Source organism: Homo sapiens, chromosome 1 (genome assembly GCF_000001405.40).
Source record: "Homo sapiens chromosome 1, GRCh38.p14 Primary Assembly".
Classification (NCBI taxonomy): domain Eukaryota; kingdom Metazoa; phylum Chordata; class Mammalia; order Primates; family Hominidae; genus Homo; species Homo sapiens.
This window is the reverse complement of record NC_000001.11, coordinates 36,399,742-36,426,798: the sequence shown is the minus strand read 5'-3', so window position 1 is coordinate 36,426,798 and position 27,057 is coordinate 36,399,742. Positions and strand designations below refer to the sequence as shown.

Here is a 27,057-nt window from a genome sequence, read left to right as displayed (position 1 = left end):
GGGAGGCAGAGGTTGCAGTGAGCCGAGATCGCACCACTGCACTACAGCCTGGGCTACAGAGCAAGATGCTGCCTTAAAAAATTAAAATAAAAAAATACAGCAGGCGAGAAGGAAGGCAGGGAGACCAGACAGGAGGCTTCTGCAGTGGGGCAGGCAGAAAACAGTGAAGGCCTGCATAGGGAGCAATAGTTGGGGTGGAGAGGAAAGGCTTGGCAACTGAAGGGTTGAGGAAGAGACAAAGATGGGCCCTGTTCTGAGCAGGGGGAATTTGAGGTACATCCTAGGGGACCCATAGATGGAAATGTGTGACAGGCAATGGGATGGATGGGTCAGTGCCAGGGAAGGAGCTGGAGTGGGACCTTGAGATCTGGGAGCCATGAGCTCAGAGGTGAGCCCTGGAGTATGGGAGGAGACGAGATCACCTCGGAAAGGAAAGGGTGGAGGGAGAAGAAAAGGCCAGCAGAGGGGCTGAGCAAGCAAACAGACCTAACAGTCCTCTCCAGCCACTGGCAGAGTCTCAGGCCAAACACAGACACACACATGACCTAAATTTGTACATTTCAGATCTACCATGCCATAGTCAACCTCATAAGATTAAACTAACAGAGTTTCTAGCACATATAAATATTCCCAATTCTCCCTCTAAATTTTCTTTCTCCTTTCTTGTACTCACATCCCTTGGTCACAGAATCTTGAGGTTAAAAATGTCTTAAACGTCATCCAGCAAACCCTCTGACCAAACCAGTTTACATGTTCCCCTGAAAACGTGACTCACACCTGCTCATCTCCATCTCTGAAGTGTCTCTACACCTACCTTCTTCCTCCAGGCTCAGCTCCAGACCCACAGTCACGCCTGCCTCCCCCCAGACTCCCGGCATGCCAGCAGTCATTCTCCTCAGCAAGCTTCTATGCACCTGCTATGTAGCATGTCCTGCTTTAAAGTGTTATTTTCTCCATTTTATGCTTGTGTCCTGTGTCCAAATAGACTTGTAATAATAAGAGTATTGGCTACCATTTATTGAGCACATAGTCTATGTGTCAGCCTTTGCTTTTTTTTTTTTTTTTCCAGATAGAGTCTTGCTCTGTTGCCCAGGCTGGAATACAGTGACAAGGTCTCAGCTCAATGCAACCTCCACCTCCTGGGTTCAAGCGATTCTCCTGCCTCAGCCTCCCGAGTAGCCAGATTACAGGCACATGCCACCACACCCAGCTAATTTTTTGTATTTTTAGTAGAGACAGGGTTTCACCATGTTGGCCAGGCTGGTCTTGAACTCCTGACCTCATGATCCTCCCGCCTCAGCCTCCCAAAGTGCTGGGATTACTGGCGTGAGCCACTGTACCCAGCCGGCTTTACTTTTTATACACTGTCTGATTTAGTTGTCACAGTAACCCACCGAGTTATCTATTATTATTACTATTATTACCCCCAGGTTACCAAAGGGAAAACTGATGCACAGAAAGGTTGTGTAATTTCCCAAAAACCCAGAAGTGGCCCGTCCAGTATTTAAGCCTTCAGAGTCTAACATCAGTATGCCAAGCTGCCAGCTCACACATTCTTATCGCTTTGCATTTTCACTGCCTTGCACACAACAAATGCTTATTCTTTCCATTTTTTTTTTTTTTTTTGAGACAGAGTCTTGCTCTGTTGCCCAGGCTGGAGTGCAGTGGCATGATCTCGGCTCACTGCAACCTCCACCTCTGGGGTTCAAGCGATTCTCGTGCCTTGTCCTTGTGAGTAGCTGGGATTACAGGCATGAGCCACCACACCCTGGTAATTTTTTTATTTTTATTAAACACAGGGTTTCACCATGTTGGCCAGGCTGGTCTCGAACTCCTGACCTCAGGTGATCCACCCGCCTCAGCCTCCTAAAGTGCTAGGATTACAGGCGTAAGCCACCACACCCAGCCTAAGATACTTATTCTTGATTATATTACTAATATAACCTTATAGAATATTAGAGTTGAAAAGATCTTCAAGCTCATCTCTTATTTTACAGATAAGGAAGCCAAGACCCAGTAAAACTGATTAACTGCTACTATCTTTATGAGATTTAATCTGTGAGTGACCGAAACCTCTATACAGAGTACACGAACCCAGGAGAAGGAATAAGTGTAATGTGTTTTCAGTCACCTAAAAGATCCTCAAACTTAAATGTCAGCTGGATCCCCCTGCCCCAGCCCCATCCTTCTTTCTAGTCCAGCATGTGGATAAGGTTCGGGCTCCAAAGTCAGAATCACAGGAGTTTGAATCCTCAGCTCTGCCCCTTACCAGCTGGCTGACCTTGAGGAGGCATCTTAACCTCTGAGCTGCCTCATGTAGAAAGTGGCCATATGAGGTTCTTACAGCTCAAGGCCTGCAGCTGCATGGAAAGTAGGCAGGGAACCAAGGCATACGGGTGGAATTTGGAGTCACCTTTGGTTTTGAATCCTGGCCCTGCCTCTTAGCTCTCTTTGGGCAAGTCACTTCACTCTCTACTTTAGCTTTCTCGTCTTTAAAATGGGGGTAATAGGACTCACCTGGAAGGTTTGCTGCGCTGCTCAAAAGTAGTTCTGTTTGTAGCCGAGCACGGTGGCTCACGCCTGTAATCCCAGCACTTTGGGAGGCCGAGGCAGGCAGATCACTTGGGCTTAGGATTTTGAGCCTGGCCAACATGGCGAAAACCCATCTCTACAAAAAAATATAAAAATTAGCTGGGCACAGTGGCTCACACCTGTGGTCCCAGCTACTTGGGGGCTATGACGGGAGAATCGCGTGAGCTGGCGGGGCTGAGGTGGCAGTGAGGCAAGATCGTGCCACTGCACTCCAGCCTGGGTGACAAAGTGAGTCCCTATCTCAAAAAAAAAAATAGTTCTGTTTGTTAAAATACAGTTAACTCTGCAAGTGTAATTTTTTCTCCCTTCTTTTTTTTATTTTTTTATTTTTTTGAGATGAAGTCTTACTCTGTCGCCCAGGCTGGAGTGCAATGGCACGATCTTGGCTCACTGCAACCTCTGCCTTCCAGGTTCAAGCAATTCTCCTGCCTCAGCCTCCTGAGTAGCTGAGACTGCAGGTGCCCACCACCACGCCCGGCTAATTTTTTGTATTTTTAGTAGAGACAGGGTTTCACCGTGTTAGCCAGGATAGTCTCTATCTCCTGACCTCATGATCCGCCTGCCTCAGCCTCTCAAAGTGCTGGGATTACAGGCATGATCCACTGCGCCCAGCCTCTCCCTTCTTATTGTTATAAACTCATAGGTCATGTTCCCAAACCATTACGCACTTTCCACCCTCAGAATATTGATGTCTATGAAAATATACCAAGAAAAATGACAATAAATGTATTTTTTTCCAGGTATCCATGTTTCTAAAGGACAAAGTTCAGAATAATAACGGTCGCTTTGTGTTGCCGGTGTCCGGGCCTGTTCCTTGGGGAACTGAAGTTCCAGGACTCATCAGGTGAATTCCCAACAATGATCAGAGCTATGTTTGGGGTGCTAGGAAATCAGCACATGGGCCGCACACGGAATGCCGCACTGCCAAGCCACTCACAGTCTGCCCAGCCCTTCTCTTTCTTCAGTAAAACAGCTATTGAAAAAGTCAGGTTCTAATCCCCACCTTGTCACTTAGTAGAGGGACTTGAGGCAAGTTACCCAGTTCCCCAGGACTAATTTCCTCATCTGTTAAATGGTTACTGTGTGGATGAATAAGATAATAGTGCTCTAACGTGCTTACAAAGCAATTGGCACATACATATGCTCAATAAATATTATTATTGTATTATTATTATTATTATTACAACCAGCACCTTTATCTTGAAGGAGAGCATGTATTCCTTTTTTGTTCTGTAGTACAAAGAATAAAGAAGCCTCCAGGACTACCTAAGCTTGGAGAACATTCCATCATGTCATACTTTGTATTGTAGAATGTTCAACAACAAAGGTGAAGAAGTGAAGAGGATAGAATTCAAGCATGGTGGAAACTATGTCCCTGCACCCAAAGAAGGTTCTTTTGAACTTTATGGAGACCGAGTCCTGAAACTGGGAACTAACATGTAAGCAAATTCTTCTCTGAGTGAATTCAAGTCCAAGGGAGGTCACTTCATTTAAAAAAAAAAAAAGAGAAACAGCCAGACTTCTGCTATGAAAATCCCTGCCGACAATAGGAGTAATTTCCCCTTAGGTACACTGCATACAGAGGCCTGACATTTCAAAGGGCACCCAGGAACGCCAAACATAAGGCAACTCAACAGAATGAAAAGATACATGATGTTCAATAGCCATGCAAGAGAACTAGCCAAAATCTGTGTTGCAGTGGAAATCCAGAAAGACTTATCCGTTCTGTAAAGCTGCATATATTTTCAGTGATGCGTGTTACTCTTCACAAGAGGAGGCATTGCCACCCAGCCTCCCCAGGTGTTTTTCTTTAGGAAGAAGTGAAATGTGAATGGTTAACACACACTCAGTTGCATTCTGTACCCACAGCACCTTTCTGGATGCTATTTAATGTCTCAGAATAAAAGCTACAAACTATGCTTACGAGTTAGAGAGAAGTCCGTGGAAAGGGGCTGGATAATGTCACCATTTTCTGTTGACACACCAGGTACAGCGTGAATCAGCCTGTGGAAACTCATGTGTCTGGATCATCAAAGAACTTAGCCTCATGGACCCAGGTGAGCTTCTGCCTTCCTTGCCTACCCTCACAGCTTCTCTCTAGATACGGAAGTCTACATAAAGAGAGGTGAGAACGCTTTAGATTTCGGATCTAGCCAACATTTCCCCTGTTGTGTGCAATCTTCTCCATTCCACCTTACGAGTACACAGGTTTTAATTGTAGCTTTTCATGGAGACTTCCAGTGATCTCACTAATTAGGTAATTTTAGGCTTGGCTCGGCCACCATAATTAAGAGGAACCACACACCAGGACATATGCAGTAGCGTAGTACCAGTGCCATTAGGTCCGTGATTGCTGACATCAGCACTCGTGTGTATTCTGATCATTAAAACATTTCTTTTTAATGTTTCCCTCTATAGCACCGTGGTAGCTAAGTCAGAGTGGGGGGTTTTAGTTTCTCTGAATTCCATCCTTAGAAGTTTTCGCTGAACTAGCTCCCAGCTAGCTGTAGGAGAGATCACAGAATATTAAATTATTCAGCAAACATTTATTAAACTGCTTCTATGGGCTGGGGACCCAGGGACACGAAGCTGACGTAGATGTGGTCCCATCTTGAAGGGGCCTGTGGTACCCTGGGAAAGACGGTGAAAGAAACAACTCAAATGAGGTGGAGGAAGGGCTGGCTGGGGATCCTGCACAAAGTGCTGTGCCAGAGGAATTCATGTCTGTCCAGTGGACAGGGATCACAGGGATCAAGAAGGCATTTCAGAGGCGGGGATATTGAAGTGGGGCTCTAGAGTAGGTAAACTATGAAACAGCAGAGAGGGAGAAATGGGCACACGGACCAAGGTGACAGAGGGGCAAGAGTGTTCCCGGGAGGAGGATGGCGGTGTCTCCCACGAGGCTTACGTAACGGATCACAGTATCATGGAGGCTTGCTGGCAGAGACTCGCCTGGACAGGACCCTGGGGCCTGACCAGGAAGGGTGGTAAACAATTTGGGCTTTGTTCTTTCGACAGGAGGCAGAGGGCTTTGTTTCAAGCCAGGGAGAAATGAGACAAAAACTGCATTTAGGTAACTGGTGGTGGAGTGAGGGGAGAGGCAGAACAGGGGAGGCCAGGCTACAAGGAAGAGGGGTACAGGATGAGGCAGGATGAGGACTGTGAGAGGAGGGAATGGACTCGAGGGTGTGTTCCCGGCCGTCACCACCTGAGGGCAGTGTGGCAGCGCCTCTGGAAGGAGACTGGACTGAGGCGACTTGTAAATGCTGAGGGAAACCGATTGACAGGAAAGGAAGCCATACACTTCTTCAAGGAGGAAGGTAGTGAGAGGAGAAACGTGGATCCCTGGGGCTTCCACTCTTGCGGAAAGTATGAAAATCTCTGGTTTGCAAAGTTGCTACATTCCCTCTGCTACTGACGTGATTGTTTTTCTTTTGGTTAAGGCTGCTTTCTACACTTTATTTGGACCCAGAAATAATTTAAATAGCAATTGTTCTACCTTATTTTATAATACCTACCTGTGTCTCTGAGGTTTTAGCAGGAAATGTGATTGCCTTCATGTGGCTAAAAATCATGCAACTGTTTCTGCAGGAAAGCATTGCTCCAAACCCTCTTGCTAAAGAAGAGCTGAATTTCTTGGCCAGGCTGATGGGAGGGATGGAGATTAAGAAACCCAGTGGCCCTGAGCCCGGATTCCGGTTGAATCTCTTTACCACCGATGAAGAAGAGGAGTATGTTTTAAACCTGTTTCGTTAAAGACATATAAAAATCCCAAGCATGACAAGAACACAAAATGACTATTACAAACCAGTGGCACTTATAAATATTTGTGTAAATATCACAAATAAAATACCAACAAATTTAATAATCTAAATAGCCCACCAGGATGAAATGGCCTGAATCTTCCAGAGTCATTCAAAAAAAGAGATGGGGCCGGGTGCAGTGGCTCACGCCCGTAGTCCCAGCACTTTGGGAGGCCAAGGCAGGCGGATCACAAGGTCAGGAGGTCGAGGCCATCCTGGCTAACATGGTGAAACCCCGTCTCTACAAAAAAAAAAAAAAAATTAGCTGGGTGTGGTGGCACGCACCTGTAGTCCCAGCTACTCGGGAGGCTGAGGCAGGAAAATCACTTGAACCCGGGAGGCAGAGGTTGCAGTGAGCCAAGACTGCACCATTGCACTCCAGTCTGGGAGACACAGCAAGACTCTGTCTCAAAAAAAAAAAAAAAAGAGACGGTGTGATGGTGCGCACCTGTAGTCCCAGCTACCCACGAGGTTGAGGCAGAAGGATCGTCTGAGCCCAGGAATTTAAGGTTAAGCAAGCTGTGATCATGCCACTGCATTCCAGCCTAGGAGAGAGAGCAACACCCTGTCTCTAAAAAATGATAATAAACAAAACAAAAAAAGAGTTATAATGTTTTACTTATCAGAGAACAGCTGAATAAGCAGTGTTAGAAGCCAGGATGACCAGATTAAGACAGTGTGTTAAGAAACCAGAGTGAGGTTGGAGCTTGATTTCCCTGTATTAGACAGTATAACCCAAAACCAACAGCAATAGTAAATCACCCACGGTGATTTATAGTGCTTTACAGTTTACAGAGCACTTTTGCATGCATTATCTCATGTGATCCTCCTCAAAACCAAGTATTTGGCGTGAGTGTCACCTTTCATTGAACTATTAATAACTTCTTTTGTTTAATTCTGTGTGACAGGTACTATGTAAAGTCCTGGGAATGCAAAGATGTAAGACCTAGAGCCTGTCCTCAGGAAGCTCTCAGCTTAGTGGGAGAGTGAACGTGTACAGATATAAGTTATTTCAGTGCTGTGTCATGAATGCGCTAATTGAGGACAGTGACTGACTTTGCACTGGCAGATTGAAGGAGCTGGCATTTGATCTAGGTCTTGGAGTTTGCCAAGCAGAGGAAGGGAAGAAACATTCTTGGCAGGGCTTATAATGTGCAAAGTCACAGAGAGATAAAAGAACTTGACTTTCTAGGTCGTAGGGTACATTGGTGGGAGATGGGGTAGAAAGTTTAAGAGAAATGGCAGATGAGGCAGAAAAAATAGGTTGCCAACTGATCAAGAGCCAGTTTGCCATGCTGGCAGGGAAAGAACCCTAATGTTGCACCCATTTTCTTTACCATCTCATCCAGACAAGCAGCGCTAACCAGGCCAGAAGAGTTATCCTATGAAGTTATCAACATACAAGCCACCCAGGTACGTACAGGGGATAACACAGGGTCCAATCGTATTCGCTTCCTCATCTTTTTTTTTTTTTCTTGAGACAGGGTCTCGCTCTGTCACCCAGGTGAAGTGCAGTGGCTTGATCTCAGCTTACCGCAACTTCCACCTCCCAGGTTTAAGCAATTCTCATGCCTCAGCCTGCCGAGTAGTTGGGATTACAGGTGCCCGCCAATATGCCCAGCTAATTTTTTTTTTTTTTTTGTATTTTTAGTAGAGGTGGGATTTCACCAAGTTGGCCAGGCTGGTCTTAAACTCCTGACCTCAAGTGATCCACCCGCCTTGGCCTCCCAAAGTGCTGGGATTACAAAGGTGAGCCACCGTACCCAGCCTCCCTTCCTCCTTTCCTCATCTTATATAACGTTGAACTTCAGAGACCCTCTTTTTCAAGCAGGATTCAGACTACAATATAGCTGTTAAGTGCTGTATTGTCATTCCCCCTGCTCAAATTAAAGTTGTTTCTTAACTATACCCATCTGCTATTCTGTAGCAGCCAGGGATGCTTGGTCACATACATGTTGATTAAGAAAAAAAATATATAGACCCTCTTCTTCTCTCTGATCAGCCTGTAACTACAATCCCTTTTCTGACAAACAGGTGCGCAACTGAAACATATCAGTCATGGGACAAAAAACTAAGTGCCTAGTGCACAAAGAGGCGGCCTGCCAGCACAGCCTCTTCATGCCCTTTTACCTCTCATTTCCCTCATAGGACCAGCAACGGAGCGAGGAGCTGGCTCGAATCATGGGGGAGTTTGAGATCACGGAGCAGCCAAGGCTGAGCACCAGCAAAGGGGACGATTTGCTCGCCATGATGGATGAGTTATAGCTGTTCTGACCAGGCGTCCTCTGCCCCCAGGGAGAGGCTGCTGGATGGTGACCCCTGGGGAATGCCCCATGGCCCAGAATGATGCTGCTAGTTTTCTACTGAGTGAAGCCATTACGTCTATTTCTTATTTATGTTGTAAGGAACTGTGTGAGTCTCCCTTGAGGAGCACTCACTCTTGAAGGCACACACATACACATATTTTCAGTGAAATATATTCTGACTTTTAAACTTGACCTTTCCCATTTTATTCTTAATTCTGTGGCAGCCACCAAAAGCCTCCTGAGCCATAGGTTTGAGCCCCAGAGTGGGTAAGGGGTCACCCCTACTGTCATTTTCAGGATTACTATTTCAGCTTTCCTGTGGGGATCTACAAAGGCCTGTAAACATTAACAAAATCCTTGGCTTTCTGGGATACATTCTGCCTGTAGGCAAGCTTGAAATCAATGACTGTTCGAGGCAGTTGCCATAAACAGTGAGGGCTCAGTGTAAAAGACCCTCTTCTCCATGGCTCACTAGGAACTGTAACCTCAGAGGAAGAGTAAGCAAGGCCGTGACAGGGAACACTCAGCTGGCCCCAGGCAGGACATGCCAGCATCTGTACTTCCCGCACGTCCGTCTATCCATGCGGTGTCAGTTTATCCCATACTGACATGTATACCAAGAGAATATTTTCTTCTTTTCAGCATGACATGTACTCCTTACCCCCAGGGTCTTCCTCTACCCCTGAGTGTGCTTTGCCTTCTAAAGACACCCAGCATAGGCCGGGCACAGTGGCTCAGGCCTATAATCCCAGCACTTTGGAAGGCTGAGGTGGGCGGATCACGAGATCAGAAGATCGAGACCATCCTGGCTAACACAGTGAAACCCCATCTCTACTAAAAATACAAAAAAAATTAGTTGGGTATGGTGGCAGATGCCTGTAGTCTCAGCTACTCTGGAGGCTGAGGCAGGAGAATAGCATGAACCTGGTAGGCAGAGCTTCCAGTGAGCCTAGATCGCGCCACTGCACTCCAGCCTGGGTGACAGAGCGAGATTATGTCTCAAAAAAAAAAAAGATACCCGGCAGGATGCACTGTGACATCGGTCTCCTCTGCATCACCGTGAGTCACCAAACAGCACCCTAGATTGGGTGCATGGGAGGCACGTGTGGTATGCACCTTTCCCTTCTGCATTCTAGCTGAGCCGCTTCCCTGGGCGGGAGCAGACTTTGCAGGATGCAGCAGGAGGCCAAGTCTCACTGGAATCCATGTAAAATGTCTCCAGCCAGGGCTGCCCTTACTGCTTCAGAAAGGCGCAGCAGCCCTCTGCCATAGGCTCCTTCCCAGGACTGAGTAACTGGCAGGTTCAGACCCATTCAATCCTATGGAAGGAATATCCAGAATGGCAGAGGGCTGGAGAGAAACTAAGTTGAGCTGGACATTGCCTGAGATTGGGCCAACTACAGGAACCTCTCCATCCCCTCACACCTGGGACGGACCAAGGTGAACATCATTCTAGAATGTAATGGAAGCTGCCCTTTGGCTTTTCCAAAGGCAAAGGGTTTAGATACAGAATGTAAATCACCAAGGGCTGGGCATGGTGGCTCATGCCTGTAATCCCCAGCACTTTGGGAGGCCGAGGCGGGCAGATCAGTTGAGGTCAGGAGTTCGAGACCAGCCTGACCAACATAGAGAAACCCTGTCTCTACTAAAAATACAAAATTAGCCAGGCCTGGTAGCGCATGCCTGTAATCCCAGCTACTCAGGAGGCTGAGGCAGGAGAATCGCTTGAACCCAGGAGGTAGAGGTTGCAGTGAGCCAAGATCATGCCATTGCACTCCAGCCTGGGCAACAAGAGCGAAACTCTGTCTCAATTAAAAAAAAAAAAAAGAATATAAATCACCAAATAAATGTTAATTGCTCCCTACCCATTAAAGTTACACTTCCTTACCTATAAAGACACCCTCCCCCTCCACATACTCACGAAAAGTCTGTTGGGGAGGAGAAGCATATTGTGCTATAAAACACCTGTTGCATCAGATGTACAAAGTGCCTTTCGTTTTAGTCTCTTTTCAGCAATCTGGCCACCATTCAGGGGGGCCTGACTGGGTGACAGATGAATGGGAAGGTTCTGACCTGTTTTGAGTCCGGCTCCCACCTTGCTGTCACATATCAGAATGTCACTGCTCTGAGTGTGTCCCAGGGCCTTGGAGGTGGGCCGTGAGGTGCCGAGAAGCAGCCGCAGCCTCCTCCCTCCACCTATCCCAGAGCGATGCTGGTGATTTCAAACGTATCTGTCCTATCAGTAAATAAACAAGATGCAGATCTCTGGTATGACAGCTCCATGATGAGGCAATCTGTGAGTTTCATGTCTCTAGACTTGCACAGATATTAAGAAAAACAAGTTTATGGCCGGGCACAGTGACTGACGCCTGTAATCCCAGCACTTCGGGAGGCCGAGGTGGGCGGATCACAAGGTCAGGAGATCGAGACCATCTGGCTAACGCGGTGAAACCCCGTCTCTACTACAAATACAAAAAATTAGCTGGGTGTGGTGGCGGGTGCCTGTAGTCCCAGCTACTCAGGAGACTGAGGCAGGAGAATGGCGTGAACCTGGGAGGCGGAGCTTGCAGTGAGCCGAGATCGCGCCACTGCACTCCAGCCTAGGCGACAGAGCAAGACTCCGTCTCAAAAAAAAAAAAAGAAAAACAAGTTTATTTGCATGGTGGTTCAGGACTTCCAGAGAAAGCATGGGAGTCAGTAGGAGGTAAAGTAGATAAAAAGTAGGAGGTCGAGGCTGCAGTGAGCCATGACTGTGCCACTGTACTCTAGCCTGGGTGACAGAATGAGACCCCATCTCAATAAAAATAAATAAAGATTCTAAAAAGATTTTATTTTCTGCCTAAAATGTGGACAAAGTACTAAAAGCACACATATTCATTTAAAACCATGGCAAAGGGGCATAAGCATGTAATCCACCAATGCCCAGTGAACTTAAGGGGAAGGCATATGGTCAGAATCACAACACTGCACTCTGGCCCCATCCCCGCCCCCAATTCACCATGTCATCTTAGACCACTAACCCTCACCAAGCCTCGGGTCCCTCATCTATTAAAAAAGAAAAAGAATTCAAACTCAGCTTGCACAGATAAGTTCCTGAGTTTATAGCTTCCTGGGCCCTGCCCCAGGTGGGACCTGAGAATGGGAGTCTTACCCAGGCTGCCCTCCCCCCGCTGCTTTGGGGTATATCTGCTCTCTTTCAGCTCTTCTGTGACTGTAGCCTCTTCTCAACTAAGTTTCAAACCACCCCACTCTTGTTCTTAGGGTGTTAGAATGCCCTGTTGATTAAGTAAAGCAATGCTGCAGAAAAGCCAAAAACCAAAGGACTTTAATGGCTCCCAGAAGAAAGAAGTAATAAAAATCCAGAGCAAAGGAGGAAGAAAAAAGAAGGAAAATGTATTTATCTCTGAATTCTAAGAAGAAAGTCATCCCATTGTTCCCGAAACACCAGGCGTTTGGTCTAGGTCCTGCTGCTCACCGCACAGAAAGCCAATCTCTGAGATAAGTATTTTCAAGGAAGAAGGCTTTAATCAGGTGCTGCAGAGAAGATGGGAGCTCAGTCTCAAATCCATCTCCCTGATCGACTAAAGCTAGGGGTTTACATAGCAAGGAAGAAATGTAACAATGTGTAACAAAATAAGAACTAGGGAGGGGCAAGGGGGCATCTGGTGCCCCCATCTGGTAAGTTTCAGTTCTCTGATCCCATTTTTTAGGGGCCTGAAGGTCCTTTCCTGAGAAAGGAACTTAGATAAAACAAATACAAGTTTCAAGCTTTAACAGCAGAAGGATCAATGTCTACGTTTATCCAAAAGAACAGTCTATGGGCCCATTTCACCATGTAGTCCCCGTGAGTATCTAACAATTTTTATTTATTTTTGAAACAAGGTCTCATTCTGTCACCCAGGCTGGAGTGTAGTGGCACAATCACAGCTCCCTGCAGCCTCGACCTCCTCAAGCGATCCTCCCACTTCAGCCTCCCAAGTAGCTGGGACTACAGGCACGTGCCATCACACCTGGTCTCACTATGTTGCCCACGCTGATCTCAAACTCCTGGTCTCAAGCGATTCTCCTGCCTCAGCCTCCAAAGGTGCTGGGATTACAGGCGTGAGCCACCACGCCCAGCCTTCTAACAATTTTTTGTTTTTAGACAGAGTCTTGCTGTGTCGCCCAGGATGGAGTGCAGTGGCACAATCTCAGCTCACTGCAACCTCCACCTCCTGGGTTTAAGCAATTCTCCTGCCTCAGCCTCCCAAGTAGCTGAGATTACAGGCATGCACCACCATGCCTGGCTAATTTTTGTATTTTCTTAGTAGATATAGGGTTTTGTCATGTTGGCCAGGCTGGTCTCGAACTCCTGACCTCAGGTGATCCACCTGCCTCGGCCTCCCAAAGTGCTGGGATTACAGGCGTCAGCAACTGCACCCAGCCCTTCTAAGAATTTTTAAATTCTTCCCTCAGATATCCCAATAAGAGAGAAACAGGCTTCAGCATAACCAGATCCTGGAGATGCCCAGATCTAAAGTGGATCAGATTCCCTCATCCACATCCATCTAGTCTATAACCATCTGGTCTGTCACTCTGGATTACATTCAGTATAGAGCCACACTGTCCATTTTGGAACCATCTCAAGCTACAGGAAACCATAGAAAGAGAAATGCAAATTTTAGAAAATATGTATTTAGCATAATACCTAATCTTAAAGACCAAAATTAAAATCAGAAAACTAATACTACCTCTACCTACCTCTTATTCTCTCCAAATTATGCCTTGGATAACTCCTTTTCAGCTGCTAAATTCCTGGACAGGTGACAGTAGAGAGAATTACAGGACAGGCTTGGGATAAGGAAACCTCCACATTGAATCTTCCCTGCATAGCTTCCTGATTTGGTGTGAAGTAAATTCTCAGATCATAACTTACCCCTTTGCAAGTGAGAATGTCAAGATTCATTCCAAGGGTCAATGGAAATTGTTTTTGATTATTTGATTACCTTAACACTTCACCACCACCACCTCCATACATGTGTACATTCTAGATTCTTTTTGTTTCTGGCCAGTGGTGCCTCTGCTGACAAAAATAACATTACCTTCTCTGTTAGTTCCTAAGACAGCATGAAAACTCAACTGCATGGCCAGGTGTGGTGGCTCACGCCTGTAATCCCAGCACTTTGAGAGGCCAAGGCAGGTGGATCACCTGAGGTCAGGAGTTCGAGACCAGCGTGGCCAACATGGTGAAACTCTGTCTCTACTAAAAATACAAAAATCAGCCAGGTGTGATGGAACATGCCTATAATCCTAGCTACTTGGGAAGCGGAGGCTTAGGCAGGAGAATCGCTTGAACCCGGGAGGCAGAGTTTGCAGTGAGCTGAGATGGTACCACTACACTCCAGCCTGGGGGACAGAGCGAGACTCTGTCTCAAAAAAAAAAAAAAAAAAAACCTCAATTGCATTAGGCCCGATGGAGCCACACACCACCAGCAGTGCCAGCAGTGCCAGCAGTGCCAGCAGTGCAAGAGGCAGGCCGCAGGGCCTAGATGTGCACAATCACCTCAGATCACTGTGTCCTTCATTTTCTTTATAGAGCTCCCTCACTTCCTTTTGAAACACTGAGGCCAGCAGGTTTCCCAGCAGGGGGCCCCGTGTCAGCAAAGGACATTTGACCCCAGTTTTCTAGATATCCTCAAGACCTCTCAGCTTAGGTTACAACTGACAAGAAGCTAATATTTGTTTTATATTGATTAATATTGCATGTGTCCCTCATCTTTCCTCCCTACCTCAAGTATATTCTGCTTCAGGTGTTTATCTGAGTGGCTGCTAAGGCTCTCCTCCTCCTGTACAAACGTGCCCAGCTGAGGCAGGAGGCAGGAGACAAGAACCTAAGGCCAATTTGCGCTGCCTTCCTAGAACTGAATCAAAACGAAAACCCCACCTCTCCACGCCCAAGTAAGGAAAGGATCAGAAGCTACTCCCTTTGCAACCCCCCCTTTCCACTGCCTCACAGATGAAAAATGGAAAGTACCTCTGATTGGTCCCCTCCCACAACCAATCTGACTGGTCGTGGGGCAGGTTTCATTTACATAGGGTGTAACCAAGTAACCAATGGGAAACCTCTAGAGCATATTTAAACCCCAGAAAATTCTGTAACCAGGGCTCTTGCTGCTTGCTCGAGCCTACTCCCACTCTGTGGAGTGTACTTTTGTTTCAATAAATCTGTACTTCTGTTTTGCTTCTTCTCTCGTTGCTTTCTTTGTGCATTTTGTCCAATTCTTTGTTCAAAATGCCAAGAACCTGGACAATTCAGTCAGGTTACCTCAACCTGTTACCCTCAACCAGTACTGGTTACCCTCAACTGGTAACACAGGTACTCCTTCGGCCCCTACTTCTCCAGGGGCTGCTTCTCTCCATCTTCATTGTTCTAGCCATTCTCCTCTGTTCCTCACCACGTACTCATCAGCTTCTCGGCTATGGGGCCAGCACTGCACTGCACAGATCTCAACTCTCAGGTCTCCAGGTGCCAACATTGCTATTAATAGATCCAATAGCCTTTTCTCATCACCATGCTCCTTGGCTTTTTGGTTTTCTGTTTTGTTTTTGAAACAGGGTCTCACTCTGTTGCTCAGGCTGGAGTGCAATGGCACAATCATAGCTCACTGAGCCTCCAAACTCCTGGGCTCAAGTGATCCTCCCGCCTAGGCCTTCCAAAGTGCTGGGATTATAGGCATAAGTCACCACGCTTGGCTTCTTGGCTTTTTGAAAGCTCTTGGCCCTGCTAAACACCCTTTTCTTCCTAAAACTCTCTCAACCGTTCACCTCTGTGGCTCTAATCACAACACTTTCTTTTTTTTTTTTTTTTTTTTGAGAAGCAGTCTCACTCTGTCGCCCAGGCTGGAGTGCAGTGGCGCGATCTCGGCTCACTGCAAGCTCCACCTCCCAGGTTCACGCCATTCTCCTGCCTCAGCCTCCTGAGTAGCTGGGACTACAGGCGCCCGCCACCACACCCGGCTGATTTTTTGTATTTTTAGTAGAGAGGGGGTTTCACCGTGTTAATCTGGATGGTCTCAATCTCCTGACCTCGTGATCCACCTGCCTCGGCCTCCCAAAGTGCTGGGATTACAGGCGTGAGCCACTGCGCCCGGTCTAATCACATCACTTTCTGACCATACATCCTCTCTCTCCCTCAGTGCCTTCTGATTGAGGACTGCTCTGTATGATACAGAGTTCAACACAGCCATTTTATAAAGTCTGTCAAAATAGCCAAGTCAATGGCAGAGGATCATTATTTCATCCTTGGCTGTCTTTCCCATTCCTTTCCCACTCCTTCGCCTTACCTCTCACTCTCACTCCATTTCTCATCCTCAGCCTATTCCTTATTCTCATCCCATTGCTGATCCCAATGTCTGATGTGCCCGGCAGGGTTTACACCCCTTCTGAGAGTTATTCTGCATCACTTATTTTTCAAAAATGTCACTACCTTCAACCCTTAACCTCTGTGTTGTCATCCCATGCCCACCTGTGCTGCAGGCTCTCTTTCCATGGATGGTCCACATCACCTCACACTCCGGTGTCTGAAAATGCAGTCATTTTCATTGATTTAGTACATTTACTTCACTTTCAAAAGGCATGAAGAGGTCAGGCATGGTGGTTCATGCCTGGAATCCCAGCACTTTGGGAGGCTGAAGCAGGCGGATCACCTGAGGTCAGGAGTTCAAGACCAGCCTAGCCAACATGATGAAACCCCATCTCTACTAAAAACACAAAAATTAGCCAAGTGTGGTGGCATACACCTGTAATCCCAGCTACTGGGGAGGCTGAGGCAGGAGGATTGCTTGAACCCAGGAAGTGGAGGTTGCAGTAAGCCAAGATTGTGCCACTGCACTGTAGCCTGGGTGACAGAATGAGACTCCATCTCAAAAAAAAAAAAAAAAAAAAAAAAAAAAAAAACCTTGAAAATTTATTAATTAAATATAATACAAAATAGGACAGTTTTCCATAGAAAAGAACTAGAAGCAGCTGCCAGAATAAGTGTCTTTCTCCCTTCTTAGAACAACAAAAAAAATGACAATGCTCACATTTGACATTTGTGCATTGGATTCCCTTCTGAATGAATAAAAAGGAAAGTGTTTGATATAATTCCTGATGGGTGTGTGTTGTTTTTCATGCCACCGTTTGTCATTGTGGTTTCCCATTTTACTGTCATAACTGGACAGACATTTTTGTAAATTCAATAAAAATACAAAAAAAAAAAAGGTTTTAAAAAACTGGAAGCACATGGGTAGAAGTTACCAAAAGCTTCCTGACCGTGAAGTAGATCAGCTGGCAAAGAAGCGAGTTGCTGTCACTGGAGTGGTTCAGATAGAGGTTAGGGGGGAGCATCACAGAATGTCATAAAGGGTATGTTGGTACTGGGTGGTAAATTGGAGCAGGTGACCTGGGAGTCGACCCTAACTCTCAGGATTTTGTGATCCTCTGACAATTGGAAACAGAACCACAACAGAGCTCACCTAAAGAGAACAGAGAGGCTGGGCACGGTTGTTCATGCCTGTAATCCCAGCACTTTGGGAGGCTGAGGTGGGTGGATCACGAGTTCAGGAGTTCAAGACCAGTCTGGCCAAGATGGTGAAACTCCATCTCTACTAAAAATACAAAATTAGCCAGGCACAGTGGCGGGTGCTTGTAATCCCAGCTACTCGGGAGGCTGAGGCAGGAGAATTGCTTAAACCCAGAAGGCAGAGGTTTCAGTGAGCCGAGATCGTGCCACTACACTCCAGCCTGGGCGACAGAGTGAGACTCTGTCTCAAAAAAAAAAAAAGAGAGAGACTAGACAGGCCGGGCGTGGTGGCTCACGCCTGTAATCCCAGCACTTTAAGAGGCAGAGGCAGGCAGATCACCTGAGGTCAGGAGGTCGAGAGCAGCCTGGCCAACATGACAAAACCCTGTCTCTACTAAAAATATAAAAATTAGCTGGGTGTAATGGTCTACTCCTGTAATGCCAGGTACGTTGGAGGCTGAGGCAGGAGAACTGCTTGAACCTGGGAGGTGGAGGTTACACTGAGCCAAGATCACGCCACTGCACTGCAGCCTGGGTGACAGAGAGAGACTCTGTCTCAGAAAAAAAAAAAAAAAAAAAAAAAAAAAAAAACAGAGAAATTCAAGGCTCCTGGAATGAACTCATTTCAAGTGCACCTTGTACTAGTTAGGGTTTTGGCTACAAAAAAATGAAACCAGTTCTAGCTATTTCAATAGAAAAGGAATTTACTGAAAGGACATCAGGCAACTCAAGAGTTGTCAGGAAGATGGGAGAACCATCAGAAAATGTCCAGGAACCAAGGAAGTGTGGGCAGTGGAGGGAATAATTCCAGCACTGGAACCACCATCAGGAATGCAGCTCTGGATGACGCATACACCAGGACAGAGCCTGAACAGTTCCTGCTGGTTTGTGTCACTTGCTCCCGATGTAAACTCTGATAATACTTGAATTTATGTCACAAGCCCACATCATAGCAGACAAGAATCAAAGACAATATCTGGCCTTTAAATCATCTGTTGTGATGAGATTCTCCCACTGAAGTCCATAGAATGTCAGATTTCCCCAAACATAGGGAAGGAGTTCAGTTGCTGAGTAGCCAAACAGTGAGATCTCCTCCACAAGCAGCAACCCCAACTCTGCCCCTCTTATTACTAACAATCTCTCTGGATACCCAGTGTTAATTTTTTTTTTCTTTTTTTGAGACAGTGTCTCTCTCTGTCACCCAGGCTGGAGTGCAGTGGCGTGATCTTGGCTCACTGCAACCTCTGCCTCCCAAGTTCAAGGATTCTCCTGCCTCAGTCTCCTGAGTAGCTGGGACTACACCGCCACCACACCTGGCTAATTTTTGTATTTTTAGCAAAGACAGGGTTTCACCATATTGGTCAGACTGGTCTCAAACCCCTGACCTTGTGATCCGCCCGCCTCGGCCTCCCAAACTGCTGGGATTATAGGCATGAGCCACCAGGCCCGGCAATTTTTTTTTTTTTTTGAGACAGAGTCTCACTATGTTGCCCAGGCTGTAGTGCAGTGGCGCAATCTCGGCTCACTGCAGCCTCGACCTCCTGGGCTCCATCAAGTGATCCTCCCACCTCAGCCTCCTGAGTAGCAGGGACACCCAGCTAATTGGCTAGTTTTTTAAACTTTTGTAGAGATGGGGTTTTGCCATGTTGTCCAGGCTGGTCTCAGCCCCCTGGGCTCAAGCAATCCGCCCATGTCATCCTCCCAGAGTGCTAGAATTACAGGCATGAGCCACCGTGCTCAGCCTCAGTGTTAAAATTGATTCCTCCTCCTTCCACCCACATTCCAGATGTGATCAGCCTCCAAGGATTCTGACTGGCTCTTTTCATGGGTCTTTAACATTCATCCCTCCTTTCCATTCCCACTGCAACTGACCATCTTCATTTAGATCCTGATCACTTTTTCATCACATTCATAAAACTAGTGTTCCTCATACCACTGCAGTTTACAGTGTGAAGCATCTGGGCCTCCTAAGGTCTTCTCTCTGACCCAACATTCAGGAGACTAGCAGAGGAGGTATGATTTATGTATTAGCTGGGCATAGTGTTACGTGCCTGTAGTCCCAGCTACGCAGGAGGTGGAGGTGGAAGTATCGCTTGAGCCCGAGAGGTTGGAGAGGTTGAGGCTGCCATGAGCCGTGATCACGCCACTGCACTTCAGCCTGGGCGACAGTGAGACCCTGTCTCAAAAAAAGAAAAAAAAAAAAAGATTTATGTAAACAACTATGGTGAATCTGCATGCAACAAGCAAACTAGGAAAGGTGTGAGCAATATGCTATAGGGGTCAGAAGAGAGACATCGCTCCCAGCTCAGGTAGCAAAGGCAGAGGCGAGAGTGTCGGGTTCCTCTGTGGATTGCTGAGTGGCTGAGTCTGACTAGAGAGTAGGCCAGCGGGTATCAAATTTTAGTGCACATTGTTAGATGTGCAAATGCATAGGCCCTACTTCCGATTCCATAGGTCTGGGATTGGGTTAACAAGCATTCCAGATAGTGTTAAGGCAACCCATTCTCCTACCACACTTTAAGAAACACTGAATCCCAGCATTTTGGGAGGCCGAGGCAGACAGATCACGAGGTCAGGAGTTTGAAACCAGCCTAGCCAAGATGGTGAAACCCCGTCTCTACTAAGAATACAAAAATTAGCCAGCCATGGTGGTGGGTGCCTGTAATCCCAGCTACTTGGGAGGCTGAGGCAGGGAATCGCTTGAACCCAGGAGGTGGAGGTTGCAGTGAGCTGAGATCACACCACTGCACTCCAAGTTGGGCGACAGAGCAAGACTCTGTCTCAGAAGAAAGAAAGAAGAGAGAGAGAGAGAGAAGGAAGGAAGGAAGGAAAGAAGGAAGGAAGGAAGGAAGGAAAGAAAGAAAGAGGAAGGAAGGAAGGGGAAGGGAAGGGAAGGAAGGAAGGGAGGGAAAGAAGGAAGGAAGGAAGGCAGGAAGGAAGGGAGGGAAAGAAGGAAGGAAGGCAGGAAGGAAGGAAGGGAAGGAAGGAAGGCAGGCAGGAAGGAAGGGAGGGAAAGAAGGAAGGAAGGGAAAGAAGGAAGGAAGGAAGGAAGGCAGGAAGGAAGGAAGGGAGGAAGACTGGGGAGTTTGGGCAGAGAACCTAACAGAGATCCAGCTAGAAGATAAAATCAAATTATGGAGGGCTTACTTAAATGTCAGCATTAGAATCTATTCTGCTAGTAAATTGAAAGTGTTCTTAGCAGGTAAATGATAGAATCAGAACTGCGTTTTGAATCTGTTGGCAAAAAATTGTAAGCAACACAAAGACCAGTGAGATGGTTTTGATAATAAATTAAGGCCAGGCGTGGTGGCTCATGCCTGTAATCTCAGCACTTCGGGAGGCCAAGGCGGGTGGATCACCTGAGGTCAGGGGTTCAAGACCAGCCTGACCAGCATGGAGAAACCCCATCTCTACTAAAAAATACAAAATTAGCTGGGTGTGGTGGCTCATACCTGTAATCCCAGCTACTCGGGAGGTGGAGGCTTAGGCAGGAGAATTGCTTGAACCCAGGAGGCAGAGGTTGCACTGAGCCGAGATTGCGCCATTGCACTCCAGCCCGAGTGACAAAAGCAAAACCCCCATCTCAAAATTAGCCAGGCATGATGGTGTGCACTTACAGTACCAGCTACTCAGGAGTCTGAGAAGGGAGAATCATTTAAGTCCAGGAGTTGGAGACGGCAGTGAGCTATGATCACTCCACTGTACTCTGGGCTGTGCAGCTGAGCAAGACCCTGTCTCTATTAAAAAAAAAAAAAAAAAAAAAAAAGTAAGTAAATGATGGCAGAGATACTTCAAAGAATTTGCAGGGCTAGTGACTGAGTGATTGTGACAGGTGTGGGGGAATCAAGAAATTATAGAAGTTATCAGCTGGGTGAGGTGGCTCATGCCTGTAATCCCAACACTTTGGGAGGCTGAGGCAGGAGGACCTCTTGAGCTCAGGAGTTTGAGACCAGCCTGGGCAATGTGGTGAAACCCTGTCTCTACTAAAAATACAAAAAAAATTAGCCAGGTGTGGTGGTGCATGCCTGTAGTCCCAGCTACTCTGGAGGCTGAGGTGGGAGGATCACTTGAGCCTGGGAGGTGGAGGTTGCAGTGAGCCAAGATCATGCCCCTGCACTCCAGCCTGGGTGACAGAACAATAACTTGTCTCAAAAAAAAAAAAAAAAAAAAAAAAAGGCAAGGAAGAAAAAATTATAGAAGTTATCAAGGTTACTCAAGGTGCCCAACTTAGGTAGCTGAAAAATGGTGGTAGCAACTGCAGAAATGGAAAAATTCAGAGCAGGAACTGATTTGGAAGGGACTTGATGAATTTTTCTCAATAGACCTACTGGGTTTTGAGTAGCAGTAAGACATCTGGGGAATAAGCAGTGTAAGACATGGGAAAATGGAGATCCAGAGAGCAGTGTGGGCTGGGGCACAGACCCGGACTCAACAGCATGGGAGGAGACAGCTCAAGACAGCTACCCTCAGGTAGAGGAAATACAGCCCCAGAGGAAACACGCACGTTAGGGGACAGGAGAATGAAGTGGGCTTAAAAAGAGAGAAAGAGATAAATGGAAAAGAAGCAATCAGAGAAATGGGTGAAGATAAATGACACAATGCCCAGAAAAAACAAAATACCAAGGAGGAGGGTGATCAGAATGCTCGAGCACTGAGGGGGATGCCAGAAGCGAGGACTACAAGAGGGGATATGGGTTTTAGGAACAGGGATATCATTAGCAACCTTTGCTGAAAAAGTTATTGGGGTCTTGGGAGTAGAAACCAGGTTCCAGTAAGCAGAGCCATTGGTGTGAGAAAGTGGAAGCCTCGGCCGGGCGCAGTGGCTCACGCCTGTAATCCCAGCACTTTGGAAGGCCAAGGCGGACCTGATTACGAAGTCAGGAGATGGAGACCATCCTGGCTAACACGGTGAAACCCTGTCTCTACTAAAAATACAAAAAATTAGCTGGGTGTAGCGACAGGCGCCTGTAGTCCCAACTACTCGGAGGCTGAGGCAGAAGAATGGCGTGAACCTGGGAGGCGGAGCTTGCAGTGAGCCGAGATCCCGCCACTGCACTCCAGCCTGGGCGACAGAGCCAGACTCCGTCTCAAAAAAAAAAAAAAAAAAAGAAAGAAAGTGGAAGCCTCACTGTACAGCAGCAGTTCTCAAACTTCTTCTTGGTCTTGGAACCTCTACATACTCTTCAAAATGATTGACAGATTATGTGGGTTATATGTATTTTCTGTCATATTGGAAATTAAAATAAAAATGTAATATTAATTCATTCAGAAATTAACTCATGAACATAAATTTACATTATATATAAATATATAAACTAACATATTTTATATATAAAATATATAATAAACTCACAAATTTATATATATACATGTATAAAATATATAAACTCACCAGCATTAGTTTATATATATATAAAATGTATAAACTCACTAACATAAATTTATATATATATATATAAAATATGTTGGCCGGGCGCGGTGGCTCACGCCTGTAATCCCAGCACTTTGGGAGGCCGAGGCGGGTGGATCACGAGGTCAGAAGGTCGAGACCATCCTGATTAACACGGTGAAACCCCGTCTCTACTAAAAATTAAAAAAAAATTAGCCGGCCCTGGTGGCCGGCGCCTGCAGTCCCAGCTACTCGGGAGGCTGAGGCAGGACAATGGCGTGAACCCAGGAGGCGGAGCTTGCAGTGAGCCGAGATGGCGCCACTGCACTCCATCCAGCCTGAGCGACAGAGCGAGACTCCGTCTCAAAAAAATAAATAAATAAATAAATAAACAAATAAATAAATAAAATAAAATATGTAAACTCACTAGCATAAATTTATATATATAAATTATATAAACTCACTAACATAAACTCGCTAACATAAATTTCTATATATATAAAATATATAAACTCACTAACATAAATTTGTATATACATAATATATAAACTTACTAACAAATTTATATATATAAATTATATAAACTCACATTAACTCACTAACATAAATATGTATGTATATAAGTTACATAAACTCACTAACATAAATTTATAAACTATATAAACTCACTAACATAAATTTTATATAAAATATATTAACTTACTAACATAAATTTATATATAAAAATATAAACTCATTAACATAAATTTGTATATATAAAATATATAAACTCACTAACACATTTATATATAAAATATATAAATGCACTAACATACATTTGTATATATATAAAATATATAAACTCACTAACATACATTTGTATATACATAAAATATATAAGCTCACTAACATACATTTACATATATATATATATATATATATATATATATATATATATATATATAAAAAATATAGGCTGGGTACAGTGGCTCATGCCTGTAATCCTAGTGCTTTGGGAGGCCGAGGCAGGTGGATCACCTGAAGTCAGGAGGTCGAGACCAGCCTGGCCAACATGGTAAAACCCTGTCTCTACTAAAAATACAAAAATTAGCCAGGCATAGTGGTACGCACCTGTAATCCCTGCTACTTAGGGAGCTGAGGCAGAAGAATCACTTGAACCTGGGAGATGGAGATTGCAGTGAGCCAAGATCACACCACTGCACTAGCCTGGGCAACAGAGCAAGACTCTGTCTCAAAAAAAAAAAAAGTGTGTGTGTGTGTGTGTGTATATATATATATATAAACATAAACTCACTAACATAAGTTTAAAACTTATGTAAGTAGCAGTATTATCAACAATGAGGTTTATCTGCGGCACAATTCTCGCTCACTGAAAAATCCCAACACCCAGCCATGAAAACTTGCAATATAGTCGGCATTGGCAACTTTTGACAGTCTCTATGGAGACTGAATATTTAAAAGAAGAGAAGCAAATCCAGTCTCACATAGATAGCTGGAAAAGTGATCATACTTGCGGAAAGGCTGGCATAAGGGCCTTTTGAGAAGTTTGACTGTGGAAAGTAAGAAAACAGTAGATTGCATGGAGGAGAAAGACAATTTTATTTTTAGAATAAGAAGAGCCCAACTGTGATTGCTGATAAAAAGGGAAGCCTCCTAGGAGAGATGGAAATCAATGAATGAGAGAGTGAAGGAATGAAAGAAGCCTCTTTTTTTTGTTTGTTTTTTGTTTTTTTTTGAGACAGGGTCTTTGTCACCCAGGCTGGAGTGCACTGTGCAGTGGCACAGTCATAGCTCACTGCAGCCTCAACCTCCAGGGCTCAAGAGATCCTCCAGCCACAGCCTCCCACGTAGCTGTGATGGCAGCAGCGGCCCATCTGGAGCAGCCAGCTTCAACCACTTCATGCCAGGCAGAGGTGCAGCTGGGGCTACGTGCTCTGTGGAGCCAGCAGGGGCCAGAAACAGATGATGCCAGCAGGAGCCCCACACCCTACCAAGTTGACGGGGCATGGAGCCCTCACTCCTGGGCACAGCTGCAGCAACCCAGCCATGGCTCCAGACCCGGGCATCCCTGTGCTCTTGAGGGCCCAGAAAGCCCCTGCCCCCGCAGGCTCAGAAGTGCTTGCTCCCACTCCCTGGAGTCTCCCCACTCTTGGCGCCCACTCCAGTGCAGAGCAAAGTTGTGGCTAAGCCCGGGCACTGTTGTGACCCAGCTTGATGTGCGTGCACTGTGGGCGACACTGACACACCAACCCCCGCTGCCTCAGCACCCCCCCAGACTTTGGGTGCCAATAAGCATGTGATGGAGGCCAGGGGACTGAGGGTGGCTTGGTGCAGGCCTGCAGGCTCCCACCAGCACAGGCAATCTGGGCACCAGCAGACAGCACGTTAATAGTGCCAGGAGGCAATCAGGTTCCTAGGCAGAAGGGGCAGATGCCCAGTGAAGCCCCACCTTCAAGCCAGGGGTGGCCTGAAGCCTGGGGGTGGGGCTGCCAGTTCCAGGTGGAACCCAGGACAGGAGTAAGAACTTCATTGATGCCTTCCAGCCAATTGGATGGTACTTTTTCCAGGCCCACCCATGGCCACCCATGGGCCAACCAGCATGCACTTCCTCCATTCTTCGCACATGAAAACCCCAGACTCAGCCAGTCTCAGACACTCCACAGGACCTGCTTGCGGAAAGGAGCCACCCACTTCAGGTCTCCCGAGAGCTGTTCTATCACTCAATAAAGCTCCCTCCAGCTTGCTTACCCTCCAGTTATCCACATAACCTCATTCTTCCTGGATGCGAAACAAGAACTTGGGACCTGCCAAACAGCGGGAGTAAAAGGAGTATAACATATTCCTGGCCAGCTCGCTGAGCTGCGGGTGGTGACACACTCCCAGACTGCAGGAGTGAAGAGTGGTGACCCTTCCGGGGGCCCACCCTCCACCAGCGGGTAGCTGTGCCACATGACAGGAAGCGGTGGCTGGGCCTAGCCAGCCCAGGAACCACGGGCCAGAGCAGGGCAGCACTGAGCGGTAGGACTGAAAGAGCTGTAACACATATGGACTGAAACACGCCCCCGCCCCCCAAGATGCCCCGCCCCTGCTCCTCGTGTGGTGAAGAGCTGCAGCCCTTCTTGGGGCCCAGACCTCCGGGCTCCACAAGCCAGGGCTGTGACACACTGTAACACCCTCTTTGTGGCTCTGTGGTTCCTGGTGTCTCTGAGCTTTCGGCCACCACTGTGTTCCCCTTGTCCAGATGCTGGTGCCCACAGCAGAAGCCACTTACGGTATGTCTGGTCCAGCCGCAGCCTTGCACAGAGCCAAAGCCTGTGCCGGCGCCTGGAGCTGCCAGTGCTGGCCCTTGGAGCTGCCCACCCGCTGCAGCAGCCGGCCTATCTGGCTGTGTGCAGTGGTCGGACCCTGTGCTCACTCGCTCACACATCCCTCACTGCTCCACACCTGGCACGCCTTTGGCAGGCGTGGGATCCGAGCCCGTAGTGCAAGCTGAGCCCAGCCTGCCAGACTGAGCAGGCAGAACGAGCCCAGCAGGCACAAGCAAAAGTCAAGCACAGGCGCTGCTAGCCACAGAGGTTTCCAGATGGCAGAGTGACACCCTAAGGTTCTTGTGACAGCTGGGACTATAGGTGCACCCATTACACCCAGCTAAATTTTTTTTTTTTTTTTGAGACGGAGTCTCGCTCTGTCGCCCAGGCCGGAGTGCAGTGGCGCGATCTCAGCTCACTGCAAGCTCGGCCTCCCAGGTTCACGCCATTCTCCTGCCTCAGCCTCCCGAGTAGCTGGGACTACAGACGCCCGCCGCCACGTCCAGCTAATTTTTTGTATTTTTAGTAGAGACAGGGTTTCACCATGTTAGCCAGGATGGTCTCCATCTCCTGACCTCGTGATCCGCCCGCCTCGGCCTCCCAAAGTGCTGGGATTACAGGCGTGAGCCACCGCGCCCGGCCACACCCAGCTAATTTCTTAAAACATTTTTGGCCGGGCTCGGTGGCTCACGCCTGTAATCCCAGCACTTTGGGAGGCCGAGGTGGGCAGATCACCTGAGGTAGGGAGTTCGACACCAGCCTGACCGACATGGAGAAACCCCGTCACTACTAAAAATACAAAAATTAGCCGGGTGTGGTGGTGCACACCTGTAATCCCAGCTACTTGGGAGGCTGAGGCAGGAGAATTGCTTCAACCCGGGAGGCGGAGGTTGTAAGCCGAGATCAGGCCATTGCACTCCAGCCTGGGCAACAAGAGTGAAACTCCATCTCAAAAACAAAAAAAAATTTAGAGATGGGGTCTCACTATGTTGCCCAGGCTGGTCTCAAACTCCTGAGCTTAAACAGTCCTCTTGCCTTGGCCTCCCAAAGTGTTGGGATTACAGGTGTGAGCCACCACCCCCAGCCAAGAAGCCTAATTTACTGAGCTTCTTCTCTG

The 27,057-nt window shown here is 47.0% G+C and overlaps 1 protein-coding gene, 1 long non-coding RNA gene, 1 other non-coding gene and 1 pseudogene across 9 annotated transcripts in view, besides 4 other annotated features; 3 read left to right on the top strand and 1 right to left on the bottom strand.

Annotated features, from left to right (window-relative positions):
* The window catches only part of OSCP1 (organic solute carrier partner 1), a 32,546-nt gene extending 23,653 nt beyond the window's left edge, over window positions 1-8,893 (top strand). For 4 of the 7 annotated variants that reach the window (NM_145047.5, NM_001330493.2, XM_011540681.4 and 1 more), the window contains 6 exons: window positions 3,333-3,436; window positions 3,903-4,031; window positions 4,580-4,649; window positions 6,184-6,323; window positions 7,745-7,808; window positions 8,544-8,893. In NM_145047.5, the coding sequence (NP_659484.4) occupies window positions 3,333-3,436; window positions 3,903-4,031; window positions 4,580-4,649; window positions 6,184-6,323; window positions 7,745-7,808; window positions 8,544-8,660 (624 nt within the window). In that variant the 3' untranslated portion in view covers window positions 8,661-8,893. Of the gene's footprint in view, window positions 1-3,332; window positions 3,437-3,828; window positions 4,032-4,579; window positions 4,650-6,183; window positions 6,324-7,744; window positions 7,809-8,543 lie in introns of those variants that run through there. The other 3 variants (XM_047445746.1, XM_047445744.1, XM_005270462.2) reach the window with 2 other exon arrangements.
* Window positions 5,062-5,561: an enhancer, noted in NCBI's record as "H3K27ac hESC enhancer chr1:36886839-36887338 (GRCh37/hg19 assembly coordinates)". NCBI's record gives its function as "activates a minimal SCP1, AML or CMV promoter by ChIP-STARR-seq in naive H9 embryonic stem cells {active_cell/tissue: H9 hESC(naive)}" and the evidence as "EXISTENCE:reporter gene assay evidence [ECO:0000049][PMID:30033119]".
* SNORA63C (small nucleolar RNA, H/ACA box 63C) lies at window positions 8,221-8,351 on the top strand. The gene has a single exon (NR_145725.1). It is a non-coding gene; the product is annotated as a small nucleolar RNA, H/ACA box 63C (small nucleolar RNA).
* Window positions 8,894-19,252: 10,359 nt separating the features above from the next.
* LOC124904013 (uncharacterized) lies at window positions 19,253-25,536 on the bottom strand. Its single transcript, XR_007065797.1, has 2 exons — window positions 25,381-25,536; window positions 19,253-19,419 (listed from the first exon to the last, which is right to left on the bottom strand). It is a non-coding gene; the product is annotated as an uncharacterized LOC124904013 (long non-coding RNA).
* RNU4-27P (RNA, U4 small nuclear 27, pseudogene) lies at window positions 23,940-24,078 on the top strand (annotated as a pseudogene).
* Window positions 25,341-25,430: an enhancer, noted in NCBI's record as "active region_754". NCBI's record gives its function as "activates an Ori minimal core promoter by ATAC-STARR-seq in GM12878 lymphoblastoid cells {active_cell/tissue: GM12878}" and the evidence as "EXISTENCE:reporter gene assay evidence [ECO:0000049][PMID:35858748]".
* Window positions 25,412-26,007: an enhancer, noted in NCBI's record as "H3K27ac-H3K4me1 hESC enhancer chr1:36866393-36866988 (GRCh37/hg19 assembly coordinates)". NCBI's record gives its function as "activates a minimal SCP1, AML or CMV promoter by ChIP-STARR-seq in primed H9 embryonic stem cells {active_cell/tissue: H9 hESC(primed)}" and the evidence as "EXISTENCE:reporter gene assay evidence [ECO:0000049][PMID:30033119]".
* Window positions 26,008-26,604: an enhancer, noted in NCBI's record as "H3K27ac-H3K4me1 hESC enhancer chr1:36865796-36866392 (GRCh37/hg19 assembly coordinates)". NCBI's record gives its function as "activates a minimal SCP1, AML or CMV promoter by ChIP-STARR-seq in primed H9 embryonic stem cells {active_cell/tissue: H9 hESC(primed)}" and the evidence as "EXISTENCE:reporter gene assay evidence [ECO:0000049][PMID:30033119]".